Here is a 17,529-nt window from a genome sequence, read left to right as displayed (position 1 = left end):
AAAATACAAAAATTAGCCGGGCCTGGTGGCACACACCTGTAATCCCAGCTACTTGGAAGGCTGAGGCAGCAGAATCGCTTGAACCCAGGGGACAGAGGTTGCAGTGAGCCAAGATCATGCCATTGCACTTTCTGGGCAATAGAGCGAGACTCCGTCCCAAAAAAAAAAAAAAGATTTATCAATAATTTTCTTTATGGTTTGTGTTATGAATAATAGGTAAAAAGTTTTTTCCTTTCCAAAATTCATAAAAATATTCTGCTATATTTTCCTCTAAAAGTTAAATTTTGCTTTTTGACATTAAGCTCCTGAATACACCTGATATTTTGTGAGGTGAGAATTTTAAAATTGCATAACCAGTTGTCTCAAAATTATATAGTGAATAATAGATCATCCTTTCTCCACTATTTCCCTTTATAATGCCATTGCCATATATCAAGTTTCCATATGTGGGCACATTTATTTCTGGATTCTCTATTCTCTTCTGTCTGTCTCTAAGCCAATAGCACACAGTTTTATTTTTTACAGCTTTAAAATAAGTTTTTATATTTGTCAGGGCAAACTTCCACTTTATTTTTTTTCAAAATTATACTGGCTAATATCTTAGTCTGTTCAGGCTGCTATAACAAAATACCATAAACTGGGTAGCTTAGAAACAACAGAAATTTATTTCTTGTGGGTCTAGAGGCTGGAAAGTTCAAGATCAAGGTGCTGGAACATTCAGTGTCTGGGGACATTCAGTGTCTGGGGAAGTCTCACTTTCTGGTTCATGGAGGGCACCTTCTTTTGTGTCCTCACATGATAAAAGGGGCAAGATAGCTCTCTGGGGCCTCTTTTGTAAAGGCACTAATCTCATTTATGAGGGCTCTGCCCTCATGACTTAATCACCTCCCAGAGGCCCAACCTCCAAATACCTTTACATTGGTGATGAGGTTTCAGCATGTGAATTTTTGGGGGACACAAACATTCAGACCATGACAACTATTTCTGGCTTTTCTATATGAATTTTAATATCAGCTAATCATGTTCTGCCAAAAACCCTGTTGGGGATTTTTAAAATTGAAATTGCACTGAATTTATAGACTGCCAAAAGGAAAAACCAAACCAAACCGGAATCTGATCAAGTTTCTAGACCCAAGTGTTAACTTACAGGACATGTGGAAGACAGAGAAACATGTTAAACTACACTATGAGGACGCAATCAGCAAAGTCTAGATTGAAACTCAACAAGACAAGTGACCCAATTTCCTACAAATACACTAAAAGGGGGAAAAAAAAGAAATGGAAGGGAACTTATAAATTCAATGAGATTTAAAGGTCATATCAACCAATTGTAAACAGTTGGTTTGCAAATTCCAAAACAATTATAATAATTATGGGACAATTTGAACTTTGAAAACTGACTGAATATTCAATTATATTAAAGAATTATTTAAATTTTGGGTGTAATAATGGTATCATGATTATGTTAAAAGTCATTTCTCGGTGCAGCGCACCAGCATGGCACATGTATACATATGTAACTAACCTGCACATTGTGCACATGTACCCTAAAACTTAAAGTATAATAATAATAAAAAAAGTCATTTCTCATCTTTGAGAGATATGTTCTCAAGTATATATGAATAAAATGATATGAGCCTAAAATTTGTTTCAAAATAACATGGGAGAGAGAAAGGAGTTGGAGATACAGGTGAACAACACTGGCCAAGAGATGGGTATATGGGATTCACTGTGCTGCTCTGTTCACTTCTGTGTATGTTTGCAGTTTTCCATAATAACAATTCCTTTTAAATTCTATTTTTAAATTGTGCTTTATGTTTTCAAACACTATTTTTTACACAATTGATTTCTGTGTATTGATCTGTATTTAGTAATCTTGCTGAATTCTTTTGTCTTTTAATGTCTTGTCTGTAGAGTCCCTTGAATTTTCCATATAAGTAATAATATAGTCTGGAAATAATACCAGTGTCATTTTCCTCCTTCCTATCCTTTCATCTTTCCTTTTTTTGGTTTCTTTACCGTTCTGGCTAGCATTGCTAGTACAATGTTGAATAGAATCACTGATAGAGGACATCCTTGTCCTAGTCCTGTCTCTAAAGAGAATGCTTCTTGGCCAGGCGCAGTGCCGCATGCCTGTAATCCCAGCACTTTGGGAGGCCCAGGAGGGTGGATCACCTGGGGTCAGGAGTTCGAGACCAGCCTGACTAACATGGTGAAGCTCCATCTCTACTAAATACAAAAAATTAGCCAGGTGCGGTGGTGAGCAACTGTAATCCCAGCTACTTGGGAGGCTGAGGCAGAAGAATTGCTTGAACCTGGGAGGCAGAGGTTGCAGTGAGCCGAGATCGTGCCGTTGCACTCCAGTCTGGGCGACAAGAGCAAAACTGTGTCTCAAAAAAGAAAAAAAAAGAATGCTTCTCAAGTTCTACCATTCAAGTATTCAAGTGTGATGTTTACTATAGGTTTTTCATGGATACTCTTTGTCAAAATCAAGAAGCCCTCTTCTATTCTTAGTCTGATAAGTTTTAATTGGGAATGGGTGAATTTTATTTTTTTCCTTTTGCATCTATTGAGATGACCCTAAGGCTTTTCCCCACTAACCTCTTAGTGTGGATTATAAATATATTTTCATATGTTAGACCCTCTTTGAATTCTTGTGATAAACCAAATTCAGTTGTGTGTATTGTTAATACTTTTAAAAATATAAGCTTAAGAATTTGATTGGTTAATAGTTTATTTAGGAGTTTTGTATGTTTGATCATAAGTGAGATTGGTCTATAATTTTCCTTTTTTTATTTTATTTTTTGAGATGGAGTTTCGTTCTTGTTGCCCGGGCTGGAGTGCAATGGTGCTATCTTGGCTCACTGCAACCTCTGCCTCCCGGGTTCAAGCGATTCTCCTGCCTCAGCCTCCTGAGTAGCTGGGATTACAGGCACGTGCCACCACGCCCAGCTAATTTTGTATTTTTAGTAGAGACGGGGTTTCTCCATGTTGGTCAGGCTGGTCTCGAAGTCCCAGCCTCAGGTGATCCGCTCGCCTTGGCCTCCCATAGTGCTGGGATTACCGGCGTGAGTGACCAGGCCCGGCCTATAATTTTCCTTTCTTATGTTGTCCTTATCTCTAGTTTTAGCTGCTTTTGGGTTTTGACAAATTTAGGTCTCTTGTTAGAAATGAGCTTTTCTTCCTGGAAGGTGAAGAGAATTTTCAGAATCAAGGGACGACTGCTGTTCTCTGGGACTCTGGGGGACTTCCCGGGGGACTTCCCCAGTCTGGGCTGTGTAGGAGTAAACCAGAAACATTCTTAAGCGTGCACCACTTCCTACTTCCTCCTCTTCCAATATGAAGGAGAACTTTGAAATACTTCCCAGAGGAAAAATAGAGCAGTACCAGAGTTAGGTCATGTAGGTGCTAAGGACTAGCAGAATATTTTGCACCTAGTACTGCAGGCTGCAGATAGCAGGGCCTGGCAGTGTGCTGTGCCATGACTGTGCAGGCATCATACTGGGCAATGTGGGGAGCAAGGAGCCCCAGACCTTTGCATGGTGCCATCTTCCAGGCTGTAGATTCTGGTGAGTGGCACCACCAGGACTCCTGGGCACACACTTCTGGTCTCCCTGTTTTCTCCACAGTGTTAGGAGGAACTTTTCCAGCACTGGCTACTCCTCACTTCTTTGCACAGGTCAGGCAATCATTACACTTGCTCCTTCTGGAGCTGTTTATTCCTGAAGCTGGAAACTGCCCAAGGAAAAGTCTTCAAAACGAAACTGACCTGAACGGAACTGAACTGAACTAGATAACCACTAACACTGGGCAGACTCCAGTTACCCTGGTTTTAATAATTAGTTGTCATGCACGATTCTCTTGACTTGTAGGCCTCAGGTTTCTTCATCCATAATATAAAAGAACTTCTAGATCACCTCCAAGATTCATGCTGGCTTAAAAAACATACTGCCATAATTTCGTGATGTTTCCCTGACTTTTTACTATTTCCTCTCAGAAACACAGGGATGGCATCACAACTCAAAGATTCAAGGAGCATGGAGTCATAGAAACCTGGGTTCATCTCTCAGCTTCTCCACTTACTGGCTGTGTGCCCCTTGGGCAAGTTACCTAACCTCTTTGAGCCTCATTTTCCTCATCTGTGGAATAGAAACAATGCACTTTGCCTCATAAGGTTATAGTGAGGATAAAATAAGCTCAAAGTACATAAAGCACCTAGCATTACGTCTTGCTTCATAGTAAATGCCAAAAATGGCCAGGCGCGGTGGCTCACGCCTGTAATCCCAACAGTTTGGGAGGCCGACGCGGGCGTAAGCCCGCAAACAGCCTGGCGAAAACCCGTCTCTACTAAAAATACAAAAATTAGCAGGGCGTGGTGGCAGGCGCCTGCAATCCCAGCTACTCGAGAGGTTGAGGCGGCTGACTTGCTTGAACCTGGGAGGCGGAGGTTGCAGTGAGCCATCACGCCACTGCACTCAAGCCTGGGCAACAGAGTAAGACTCTGTCTCCAAAAAAAAAAAAAAAAAAAGTAAATGCCAAAAATTACTTCCCTTTTCTCCACCCCTAAGTGGAAAATTGGCCAAAATAAAACAGTATCAATTAAAAAGTCCAATTGTTTGGGTGGCACTCCAGGGGTTTGCCTGCCTCCCTGCCTTCTCCCCAGGGACTATGCGTGCCTGCTTTTCAGATGTTTAGACCTTCTAGCTCTGCCAGTCTCCATCTCGGGATGGAGTCCATAGGAGGCCCCAGCGTTAGAGACATCACAAGCCACCACAGAGAGGAAAAGAAAAGACTAAAGGAGGCGACACACTCGGAGAAGTGACCCTTCGGGGAGAGCCCGCCTGGGGTCTTGAGCTCACCAGCGAGGAGCTCCTTTTGTAAGGCCGGGACGACCTCGCGCAGCAGAGAGGCGCTAGGCAGAAGCCTCTCCGACGCCGCGGGGACCCGGAGCGGCGCTATTGAAGCCATAAACGCGGCAGGCCCCGAGAGAAGCTGCTCCCAGCGCGCCTGCTGCGGGGCCCCTGCCGCCGCGGAGGCGCAGATGCCGCACTGCTGGACCACTTTGGCCTCCCTCCCCGATTGGCCACACCTTTTTATTCCCTTTAAAAAAACTGCTTGAAGAATCTTTTCATTCATATTTCTCTAGTTGGGGTGTGTGTGTGTGTGTGTGCATGTGTGTCTGTGTATATGTGTCTGTGTGTGTGTCTATGTATGAATGTGTGTGTGTATATGTCTGTGTGTGTGTGTGTGTGTGTGTGTGTGTAGTATTTCTTTAAATCTCTATTTCCCCGGACCTTGCTGTTTTCTCCCGTGGGGGGCGAACCCTCTTTTTGATAGCTGTTAACATCCAGCATTAATCTATGCAGACAGCCTGGGGAGGTCAGCCTCACTGTTGCCCAGCTCTGCGAGCAAGGATGTGGTACTTAACCACTCTGTGCCTCAATTGTCTCATCTGACAAATAGGGATACCAAGGCCTGCTTCTTTACAGGATTAGTATAAAAGTTAAATGAGGCACTTTACAGAAAATGCATAGCCTGGTGCCTGGCACACAGGGAGTGTGAACTGCTGCCTTCTCTTGATGTCTTCATCACAAATGGGTGAACGCAGTCTAGGTTCGTAAATGCCTTCCTTCATGTCAGCCATTACCTCCTACAGGAAGCCCTACCTGATTTCTCTCTATCTGGATCAGATTTCTGCCCCGGTCTGGATCAGTTGTCCTTCCTGTATTCTCTTAGAGCACTGATCACACTCCACTCACTGGAGCTGTCTGCACACATATCTGTTTCCTCCACCAAAGCGGGAGCTGCAGTAAGGAGTGTGTTTTATCCAACCATGAAGGCTATGAAACTTAGTAGGGATCAGCAAGTGTATGCTGAGTGAATAATGGAAGCTTCCATTCATGCAGTCGGTGGTTAAAGACTTAAGACGGCCTGAACCTGGAGGCTGAACCATGGAGCTATCTCAGTGGTAGCACCGTGGATTCTGCTTTTCCCCTTAACAGAAACAGTTCCAATGTCATTGAATCACAGAAAGTGAGAAACAGAGATTGGAAGGTCAATTTTGTTATTTTCAGATCAGGAAGTGGAAGCCTCCAGAGGCCCAGAGGTTTATGGAGTCCTCATGCCATGCCAGAGAACCGTGGCAAAGCAGTGCTCCCATCTTGACCCATTGAGCTCTCACTCACTTGTTGCTGCACTGAGCCAGGGCTCACAAATGGCACAGGGATGGCCTCCTCCCAGGCTGTCACCTGAGGGAGGCTGGGTGGTAGAAGAGATTTATGTAGGACACAGTGAAGGTGGCAGACCAGCCTTCCCCGGAAGTGGGGGTGGGGGATGAGCTTGGGAAGGAGGCCCCGCCCCAGTCCTGGATCTACAGCCTACCACTGTGCAAGCCTGAGCGACTCATAGACGGCCAGAGCATGAGAATGGGATGGGGCCCTAGAGATGATCCATCCCGACCTCCTTGGTTTATGGGAAAGGAGACCAAGGCCCAGAGAAGCAATCCGCCCTTCCCTAAACTACAGACTTAATCAAAGGCACAGCTGGTAAAGGAATCCATGTCTTTTGAATCTGAAACCCAGTTTCCTCGATGAATAGATTTCAGTGTTTCCCAGACATCAGTGGGCATACGAATCACTTGAGGACCTTGTTAACAGGCAGGTCTGGGGTGAGACCCCAGATTCTCTTTTCTAATAAGCTCCCAGGTGCTAGCTAGAATGGGTCTAGATAGGTGGTTCTTACAAAAATCTCTGGTCTAGACTGCACTATGATGAAACGACTTGGTACACTAGCCACGAATTAGACCAGCCTTATCAGGTTAATGAGGGCATTGGCTGCTGGGACACTCACTGAGAAGCTGACAGAGCCAGTGTCCTCCTTCCCCATCAGCATTAGTTACCTGTTGCCTGTTGGCTGCTTCTGGGTCTATGGTGAAGGTGCAGGTTCTGGCTGGTGGCTGTAGGTTCCTTGACTGCACCCTAGTTAGAGGGCTGTGACCTTAGTAACCCTGGGAGGCACTGTTTCCTCACAGTGAACATCATGCCTGCAGTTGAAGTCTTCACTGTGAGGCCTTGAGGGTAGGAAACTTGGTTTTGTCATCTTTGAATCCTTTGAATACTTAGCATATTCATTCATTCATACATTTGACTCATTCATTCATTTAGGAAACATTTACCAGGCCTGAATAAGGCATGATCCTTGCCTTCAAGCAGCTCACATAACACATGGGGCTATAGGTGGTACTTAGTAGCCACCCAATTAAGCATTTGTGCAATTGAATTAGACTTCATGGATCCCAGGGACCCCCTGCCTGCCAGCTCAGACTTTTCCATCAGAGAGGAATAACCCTTCCATCTCGTTTGAAGTCACTTTACTTTGGCCTTTGTTAGAACAGTTGTACCAACATCCTATCTACTACACATCTGTCTCTTGAATAAGGCAATAGGGCTCTGGGCCTCCTTTTTTTGACAGAACAGAAATGATGGAAATGGCTTATTTGTTTCTGAGAATTTCCACAATACCTGCCTTTCGTCCCCACCCCCACATTGTTCCAGGCTGCTCCTTAAGGACCCCCTGCACCTCATGCAGGGTTCCCCAAATCTCTCACTCCTCCTAAGACTCTTAAAGCAGTTCTGTCATGTCCCAAGGAGTTATGTCACAGTAACTTCACTGAATGCAGAGGCTGGAAGGCTGCTTCATTCATTTTGGGTCTGCTGCCCATACCTGGACTTAAGCAGAGGACTACATGCATCCCCCAAAAGCACCCCCAATACCCCTTATGCCACCCAGACTGGGAAAGTAAAGAAATCATTATGTTATTACCTTAGAATAAGGCTCTCCTGACAAGGAGCAAATTGTGGCTCCTATTAAAGATTTTTAAAGAGTAGATGAATATCCCTTTTTGAGCACTTTGTGATGGGTACTTTTCTTTTTTTTTCTTTCTTTTTTTTTTTTTTTTTGAGACAGAGTCTTGCTCTGTCGTCAGGCTGGAATGCAGTGGCACAATCTCGGCTCACTGCAACCTCCGCCTCCCGGGTTCAAGTGATTCTCCTGCCTCAGCCTCCCGAGTAGCTGGGACTACAGGCACGTGCCACCACACCTGGCTAATTTTTGTATTTTTAGTAGAGATGGGGTTTCACCATGATGGCCAGGACGGTCTCGATCTCTTGACCTTGTGATCCACCCGCCTCAGCCTCCCAAAGTGCTGGGATTACAGGTGTAAGCCACCATGCCTGGCCCTATGACGGGTACTTTTCTAAGCACATTACATAGTTAACTCTTCTTTGTCACAACCACCCCATGAGATAAGTACTGTTAGTATCCCCATTTTACAGAGGAAGAAAAAAGATGCCCAGAGAAGTTTAGTAACTTACTCAAGGTCACACAGCTAGTAAGTGGTGGTGCTAGAACTTGAACCCTGGGAATCAGACTACATAATCAGTACTCTTGATCACAATGATGCTGCCTAAACAGTGCCTGCCAACCAATTCCTTCCCCACTACCTATTATTATTATTATTATTTTATTTTCTTAGAGACAGGGTCTTGCTCTGTCATCCAGGCTGGAGTGCAGTGGTGCAGTCTCAACTCACTGCAGCCTTGAACTCCTGGGCTCTAGGGATCCTCCTGCCTCAGCCTCCTGAGTAGCTAGGGCTGCAGGTCCTCACTACCATGCCTGGCTAATTAAAAAAAAATTTTTAGAGGCCGAGATGCAGGGCATGGGGAGGGGTCTTGCTATATTGCCCAGGTTGGTCTCCAACAACTTCTGGTCTGAAGTGATCCTCCTGCCTCCCAAAGTGCTGGGGTTGGAACCATGAGTGACTGTGTCCAGTATTCCTTCCTACTGTTTTTAAAAGAACAGGTTAAATTGAGTTGCTGCCAAATTCAGGGAAATACATACTGGAAACAAGGCCCAGGGCAGCGATTCAAAACTGTGGTTGCTGGTCCACCAGCATCAGAATCACCTGAGAACTTACTAAAAATGCAAATCGTCAGGCCTCAGCCCAGATCTAATGAATCAGAAACTCTGAGGGCGGGGCCTAGAAATCTTTAGTTTAATAAGCCTTACAGGTGATTCTGATGCACATTGAAGTTTGAGAACCATTGGCCTAGGAAATAAACAAGAATTGAAATAAGAATTGAAATTTTATTCTTTCCCTGGACTTTGGACAGGGGTAGAGGAGTGGAAAGTTTTTTTTTTTTTTGAGACGGAGTCTCACTCTGTTGCCCAGGCTAGAGTGCAGTGGTGCGATCTTGGCTCACTGCAAGCTCCGCCTGCTGGGTTCATGCCATTCTCCTGCCTCAGCCTCCTGAGTAGCTGGGACTAACAGGCACCCGCCACCGCACCTGGCTAATTTTTTGTATTTTTTAGTAGAGACAGGGTTTCACCGTGTTAGCCAGGATGGTCTCGATCTCCTGACCTTGTGATCTGCCCGCCTCAGCCTCTGAAAGTGGAAAGTTTTGTATTTAAAGCCAGAGCAATTTTTCAAAGCCACTTTGATTTGGAGGTTGCTGATTTGACCTGTCTTGTGGAAACTTGAAGTGTTCTCACCAAGTCTAAGACTCATGATATTCTCACTGCAGGTGGCAACTGGTTCACTGCTTATAATTAACCATGAAGATCACAACTTAATTTAGAGTAGGAAAAAAATCCTGGTAATTAGCCTTAAGACCTATGGGGAGAAAATTGATCCTTTTTTTTTTTGTTTTTGTTTTTTTTTGGAGACAGGGTCTGGTTCTGTTGCCCAGGCTGGAGTGCAGTGGCATGATCATAGCACAGCTCACAGCAGCCTCAAACTCCTGGGCTCCAATGATCCTCCTGCCTCAGCCTCTGGAGTGATGGGACTACAGGCATGTGCTACCATGCCCAGCAATTTTTAAAATTTTTTGTAGAGACAGGATCTTGTTGTGTTGCCTAGTCTGGTATCAGACTCCTGACCTCAAGTGATCCTCCTGCTGTGGCCTCCCAAAATGTTGGGATTACAGGCGTGAGCCACTGTGTCTGGCTGAAAATTGATCCTTAAATAGTTAAAAAAAATTCCTTGGCACTCCCTCTTCTTTTTTCTTCAAATACTTGAAATCCTTTCTGAACATTAGTGTTTATCATTCAGGACAGGAAAATGCCTTCTTTAATTTTCTGTGGTGATATTTCATTGCATTAAACATGGTCTGAATAACCTTTATGCAATCCAGCTGGTGCCTGCTCTTCCGTCATGAGACAGGAAATCTGTTTTGACTGACTTGGTCATTGCTTAGGTTTGGCCATGTTCTGTGCTGCCTAAAACCTCCATCACACTTGGCCAAGCCCTTGGAGCCCTGTCAGTGTTCACATTCTGCATGTGTGATTTATGATATGGCAGACCTGAAGACTGGAGCATGTTTCCCTGTCTAGTGTCACTCTGCCTTGAAAATGGAGGTGGTAAGAGCTCATGTGAACAGAAATCTGCTTAGAAGCTTAACCAAACCCAGGATCAGGCTACCATGATATATTGTTGTCTGGTATCCCCCAAACAACAAGCTCTTGTAAAATTAGTATAAAAATTAATTACTTTTGATTGGATGTCAACTGAAGGACATGGTAAAAGATATAAACAGAAAAAGATCAAGTTAAGGGTGAAATCCAAAATCTGTGACTTTAGGCATTTTTCTTTTTTTTTGAGATGGAGTTTCGCTGTTGTTGCCCAGGCTGGAGTGCAGTGGTGCGATCTCAGCTCACCGCAACCTCTGCCTCCTGGGTTCAAGTGATTCTCCTGCCTCAGCCTCCCGAGTAGCTGGGATTACAGGCATGCACCACTGCGCCCAGCTAATTTTGTATTTTTAGTACAGATGGGGTTTCACCATGTTGGTCAAGCTGGCCTCAAACTCCTGGCCTCAGGTGATCCACCCGCCTTGGCCTCACAAAGTGCTGGGACTACAGGCGTGAGCCACCGTGCCTGGCCTCCCATTAACATCTTTTAACAGTGCAAAGTTCATCTGACAGTTATGGCTATAAGATTATAAAGCCCCACCTAGTGGTCTGTACCTTGGTCGTTGTGGTGAGTTTCTCTGAGGGGTCTCCCTGCTTCTTCCTGATAGTCCAGTGCATTTCCACTTTCCTATTGGGTTAACACACAACAAAGAATACATTAGACATAATAAATGCAAACACTTAAAACACTTCTGTGATCCCATGACCTTTGGTAAGAGGGAAGCCAGTTTTCTTAGTGGTTTCTTCTCCTTCTTCGTCAACTTTTTACTTAAGTCTCCAGGAAGGCTGCTACTAGTGTTAAACAGGCTTAAAGAGCCAGGCAGGGCTAGGCATAATAATATGCACCTGTAGTCTCAGCTATTTGGGAGGCTGAGATGGGAAAATTGCTTAAAACAGGAGTTCCCAGGAGTTTGAGTCCAGCCTGGGCAACATAGCAAGACCCTGGACTCTGTCTCTTAAAAAAAAAAAGAAAAAGCCAGGGCCAGGCAGGCTTGGCACCAGCAGCATCAAGCACTGTTAGCTTTCTGGTTGTACTTATTTTCATGGGGTCTTATCCCATTCATCTGTGCAGTTCTGAATGCCTAAGGCATGTAGGAGTTTACTGGAGGAAGGCGAGAAGAATGTCATGACAGAGGCCAACTAGCAGAAGGAAGCAGGGCACCTCCAGGACTTGAGGGAGGACTAGTGTGACTACAGCAGAGACTGAGAGAACTGCGCAGGGCTGGGAGGAGTCAAACCCCCATGGCCTTGAAGGCAGGTTGAGGACTTTGGTCTTTATCTTGAGAACAAATGGAAAGCATTCAGGATTTAAAGCAGGGGAGCCAAAGGGTCAGACAGGCCTTTTGTGGCATCCTCAGGATTACCACGGATTTGGTTTCTTATCACATTTGATCCCTTCTTCCTTCTTTCCTTGAGTCATACAAGCTGCTTGCAATCCCTCCTCCCAGAAATCTCCATAACTATGGTTACCAACCCTGGCTACACATTAGAATTATTTGAGAAGTTTCAGAAAATGATTCCCAGGTCCTAACTCCAAATAATAACAGTCATACAGCTGGAGTTGGGGCATTTTAAGGCTTCTAGGGTGAGTCTGATATGCAGCCAGGACTGAGAATCATGCTCTTCTCTAGAGTGTTGCAAGAGCAGCTCCTCAGTGCCAAAGTAACATGGCAGGTAGAGTTGGTGACCCAAGTAAGCCCCGTGTGTCTGATGAGGCCAGATCTGGGCCTTTGTCACCTGGATCCCTGCTCAACCCACAGCTTCATCTCGGTGCTAGAGCTGGAATCTGGCATGAAGGGTCCTGGAAGTCTCTCCGGGTTTACCCTCATTCTGTAGTGACAGTCACCTTTCCACTTTGTTATCAAAGCTGCATCCTGCTTTGAGAAGAGACAACTAATTATCTGCTATTTTGGCACTCTCTTTAATTCCCCTCTGACTTCCCTCACTTGGTGGCTTTTTACCTTGTGTGTTTGTTTCTCACTTGTTAGCTTAGTGTTTGTAGCTGATGATATATACTGACATAAAAAGGCTAACACAGGTAAATAATTTTCTTACTTTTGGGTTTCTTATTTTGGAGACAAAGTCAATTTGGCCTGGTACAGGAAAAAAAAAAAAAAAAAAAAAAAAAAATTCCCTGAATAAATGGAAAGGAGTAACAGGCTAAGTTAGAAGACTAGATATCCCTGGTTATAAAGCCTTTTAATCTAACAAGAAACTGTATTGAAAGGGAGAGTCAAGCTTCTTCTTTTGGAAGAATTTTAATGCCAAGAAGGATCAAACTTCAGTCTCAACAACACACAGCCATGAGCCTTCAGGGGCAAGGAATATCTTCTCATTTCACAGAGTGGGAGAGGGAGATAGAGAAACTCAGGGATTTGGAAAAATATTTTCAGGTGAATCTTTGTTAGAAAAAGAAATAGTCTTAATTTGAAACTCTGTCAATTCAATTGTATGTTGCTTAGAAGAGTGTCAAAAGAACTATCTTTTTTTAGATATAAGAATACATATGTGGCCAGGTGTGGTGGCTCACGCCTGTAATCCCAGCACTTTGGGAGGCTGAGGTGGGCAGATCATGAGGTCAGGAGCTCGAGACCAGCCTGGCCAACATGATCAAAACCTGTATCTACTAAAAATACAAAAATTAGCCAGGCGTGGTGGCATGCACCTGCAATCCCAGCTACTCAGGAGGCTGAGGCAGGAGAACTGATTGAACCCAGGAGGTGGAGGTTGCAGTTAGCTGAGATCGCACCACCGCACTCCAGCCTGGGAAACAGAGCAAGACTTCATCTTGAAAAAAAAAAAAAAAAGAATATACATGTGAAATAACTTCTATTTAAAGTCATTCATTCACTGCAACAGATTGGAAACAGCCTAAATGTCCCATCAATTGAGGACTAGTTAAATAAATTATTATTAGCTTATACAATGGAATATGATGCAACCATTAAAAAGCACAAGCATCTCTTTTTTTTTTTTTTTTTTTGAGACGGAGTCTCGCTCTGTTGCCAGGCTGGAGTGCAGTGGTGCGATCTCAGCTCACTGCAACCTCCGCCTCCCGGGTTCAAGTGATTCTCCTGCCTCAGCCTCCCAAGTAGCTGGGACTATAGGCGCCCGCCACCACGCCCAGCTAATTTTTGTATTTTTGGTAGAGATGGGGTTTCACCATGTTGGCCAGGATTGTCTCGATCTCTTGACCGGTGATCCACCCGCCTTGGCATCCCAGAGTGCTGGGATTACAGGCGTGAGCCACTGCGCCTGGCCTACAAGCATCTCTTTATGAATTAACGTAGAACTGCAAGATGTAGTAAGTAAAAAAAAAAAAAAAAAAAAGACTCTGGGCCAAGTGTGGTGGCTCACACCTATAATCCCAGCACTTTAGGAGGCCCAGGTGGGTGGATCACCTGAGGTCAGGAGTTCGAGACCAGCCTGGCTAACATGGTGAAATCCTGTCTCTACTAAAAATACAAAAATTAGCCAGGTGTGGTGGTGCGTGCCTGTAGTCCCAGCTACTCGGGAGGCTGAGGCAGGAGAATCGCTTGAACCCAGCAGGCGGAGGTTGCAGTGAGCCGAGATCGCAACACTGCACTCCAGCCTGGATGACAGAGTGAGACTCCATCTAAAAAAACAAACAAGCAAACAAACAAAAAGACTCTGAACAATGTGTATAATATGCTAAGATTTGCATATAATATCTATCTGTGTATGTATCTATCTGTATTTGCTTATATATATGCATTATACATTCTAGGAAGGGGACACAGGAAACTAGCAACTCCAGTTGTTCAAGGGAAGGGAGCTGAGCAGCTGGAAGGCATACTGTTTTCTACTTAAATTTGAAAAAAAAAACCTTCTGAATATATTTCAGATTCAAAATTTGAATTAAAGAAACTAAACCTAAATAAAATGTGATGTCACTTTTAGTCTGAGTTACAAATGCATGATTAAAACAGAGTGATGGAAACAGGTAATAATACTTGGTGAGTGAGCAAAACAAATGGAGGGACTGTAAATTCAAATCCCAGTTCTGTTATTTTGGCCAGGTTGTTTGCTCTTCCTCTGTTCATTCAGCTAATGAACATTTATTGAGTGTCTGCTGTGTGCCAGGTACCGAGATAGGCACCGGGGGCACAAAGATGAAAGATGTATTCGTAGGATGCTCACTGGCTTGTGGGGAAATGACAAGTCAGTTTGCAATGCAGCGTGATAAATGTTGTGGCAGATTATGACAGGTTTCTGCAGGGCCTCATGGGAGGTGAAGCTAAATTAGGCTGGGAAGGTTGTTTACCAGCAGACACAGTGCTAAATCTTGCAGTGAAGGGAAGGTAGAACAATTCCAAGCAGAGGAAGCAGCATGTGCTGGTTAGGGGATAGTTTGGTGCGGGGGCAGTGTGTGGACAGTGTAAATTAGACACAGGCCAGATCTTGCATGTTACAGTTCGGAGTTTAAGAAAAATTGCACATGTTATATTTTTCTATTTGTAAAATAAATACATCTTTGATGCTTGGAATTTAACCAGAGGGCCAATGGGGACACAGTAAAGAATTTCAAGCAAACCACTGATAAGACTGAGCTGTATTTAGAGCACTGGCAGCAGTGTGGTATTATAAGACTGGGAGAGGAGGAGGAAGAGTCACAAACACTTTGTGAACACAAACTACAGCATTGAAACCAACATGTGAGAGGCGCTTTCTCCGGTGGCTGAAGTACAGGTCCTGCAGTCAGGCTGTCTGCACTCAAGTCCTAACTACTACACTTGATGTCTTACAGACCATAGGAGTTACTTAACCCCTGAGCCTCAGTTTCTTCAACTGGAAACCGACAGATGCTGGACAAGTGATCTTAGGTTATCTTTTCCTTGGAAAACCTTCCAGCCATCCTGCCCTCCACTCTCATGCACAGCCCCCCTGCTGGGCATGTTACTTTTAGGACCACAGCAGGCTTTCTTAGGGAGCTGCTGGGAGGATGGAGGAGCATGTGCTGCAGGAGTCTGAAGTGCGGCCTCCAGCCTGTCTTGAGCCAGCTGCATGACCTATCATAGAACCTCAGCTTCTACACCTGTGAAATGGGAGTAATAATAAATAATTGTAGAGTTCTCAAAAGGCTTAACCAGGAAGAGACATTTGGAAATTCCATGTAACATACCATATGATACATGAATATAAATGACTAATTTCAATACTTTCTAAATGATGGAAGAAAATCAGGATCTCATTCAAAAGTTTCAACTTCAAGGTAGTATAACTTTTCCTGTGTAACAGAAAAGTCCCCTACATTGTCTTTGTTAAAGACTATGATTTTGGCCGGGCGTGGTGGCTCACGCCTGTAATCCCAGCACTTTGGGAGGCCAAGGTGGGCGGATCACGAGGTCAGGAGATCGAGACCATGCTGGCTAACATGGTAAAACCCCGTCTGTACTAAAAATATAAAAAATCAGCTGGGCATGGTGGCGGGCGCCTGTAGTCCCAGCTACTTGGGAGGCTGAGGCAGGAGAATGGCGTGAACCCGGGAGGTGGAGCTTGCAGTGAGCCGAGATCACGCCACTGAACTCTAGCCTGGGTGACAGAGCGAGACTCCATCTCAAAAAAAAAAAAAAAAAAGACCTTATGAAAAATCATAAAGTATCTTGTGTTATTAAGATAAAAAAGATTAATATATAATATCAAATCTCTGCTCCCTTCTTGGGTTCTGCAGCTAGAACAAAGAAGTACAACTAGGTACACAGGAACAGAACAGACAGACCTCATAGATCTCTGATATTGTGGGGATTTTTGGCTTTGAATCCTAGCTCCCTCTGCTGCCAGCCATGTGACTGGTCATCTCTGAGCCTCGGTTTCCTCATCTGCACAGTGGGGATCAGCACAATTACTGGGAAGGGTGACAGGAAGATTATACAAGGCTCAATATGTGAGGGGCCTGGCCCTTAGCAGGGATCAGTGAATGTTCCTTTCTCCCTTATGAATTGAGTCCTTTACAGATGTGAACATTCTTTCAAAACTATTAGTTCATGTAATTCTTGCTTCACTGTTGAGAGGCAGGTATGGAGTTCCCAGTATTATTATTATTTTTTTGAGACAGACTTTTGCTCTTGTTGCCCAGGCTGGAGTGCAGTTGTGCGATCTCAGCTCACTGCAACCTCCGCCTCCCGGGTTCAAGAGATTCTCCTGTCTCAGCCCCCTGAGTAGCTGGGACTACAGGCACATGCTACCATGCCCGGCTAATTTTTTATATTTTTAGTAGAGACGGGGTTTCACCATGTTGGCCAGGCTGGTCTCGAACTACCTGAGGTGGTGATCCACCTGCCTTGGCCTCCCAAAGTGCTGGGATTACAGGTGGGAGCCACCATGCCCTGTCAGGTCCCAGTATTATTATTTCTGTTTTATTAAAGAGAAAATGGAGTCTCAGAAGCATCACAAGGTCACTTAGTATCAGAGTGTCAGAGAAGTACCCCTTGCCCCACCCAGGGCTTCCCAACTACTAGTCTGACACTTTAATATTGATAATATTATACTTAATTCTGTTTTTTTTTTTTTTGGAAATAGAACACACTCATACATATTTTTTCCTGGGAATATTATTCAAGTGTCCTGGCACCATTAAATCTTGAGACCAGCTCGTGATCCCTCTACAACTTTCCTGCCAAGTGGTCATCAAGGCACGTTTAAATGATTGTGGAGACAAGAACTTATCTCCTAAGGCACCCTGCTCCATCTTTGGATGATGTCCTAAGCCAAGCATTATTTTCCTGTTGTATGTGAAATCCACAGGTTTCGGGGCAGCCCCCTTCTGCTTCGTGGGATGCATGTACACCTGCCCACATACGTAATGCTTGGGACTGGTCTCAAAACAGGTGGGGCAGCTCTAACTCCAGGCATGGCTGGCTGTTGTCCGTGTTCAGGCCAATTCCTCTACCTTGCATTTGAGGGCACTATATGCTAACTGTGTGGGAACTGCGAGGTGGAAGCTTATTTCTCATTCTTCAGATGTTCTGGGCATAACATACACATCCTTTGATATCAATGTGGAGTATAAGGATATTCAATTTGATATCTAGCATTAATAGGCAT

General features: G+C 44.4%; 1 protein-coding gene across 2 annotated transcripts in view, besides 2 other annotated features; it reads right to left on the bottom strand.

The window, feature by feature from the left end:
* The window catches only part of KIAA2012, a 131,934-nt gene that overhangs the window by 28,813 nt on the left and 85,592 nt on the right, over window positions 1-17,529 (bottom strand). For both annotated transcript variants that reach the window (NM_001277372.4, NM_001367720.2), the window contains exon 15: window positions 11,020-11,092. In NM_001277372.4, coding sequence (NP_001264301.2) covers window positions 11,020-11,092 — 73 coding nt within the window. The remainder of the gene's footprint in view (window positions 1-11,019; window positions 11,093-17,529) is intronic.
* Window positions 3,196-3,405: an enhancer, noted in NCBI's record as "active region_16998". NCBI's record gives its function as "activates an Ori minimal core promoter by ATAC-STARR-seq in GM12878 lymphoblastoid cells {active_cell/tissue: GM12878}" and the evidence as "EXISTENCE:reporter gene assay evidence [ECO:0000049][PMID:35858748]".
* Window positions 4,658-5,476: an enhancer, noted in NCBI's record as "NANOG-H3K4me1 hESC enhancer chr2:203035623-203036441 (GRCh37/hg19 assembly coordinates)". NCBI's record gives its function as "activates a minimal SCP1, AML or CMV promoter by ChIP-STARR-seq in naive H9 embryonic stem cells {active_cell/tissue: H9 hESC(naive)}" and the evidence as "EXISTENCE:reporter gene assay evidence [ECO:0000049][PMID:30033119]".

The sequence above is a fragment of the Homo sapiens genome, chromosome 2 (genome assembly GCF_000001405.40).
Source record: "Homo sapiens chromosome 2, GRCh38.p14 Primary Assembly".
NCBI lineage: Eukaryota > Metazoa > Chordata > Mammalia > Primates > Hominidae > Homo > Homo sapiens.
This window is presented reverse-complemented; position numbering and strand designations above follow the sequence as displayed.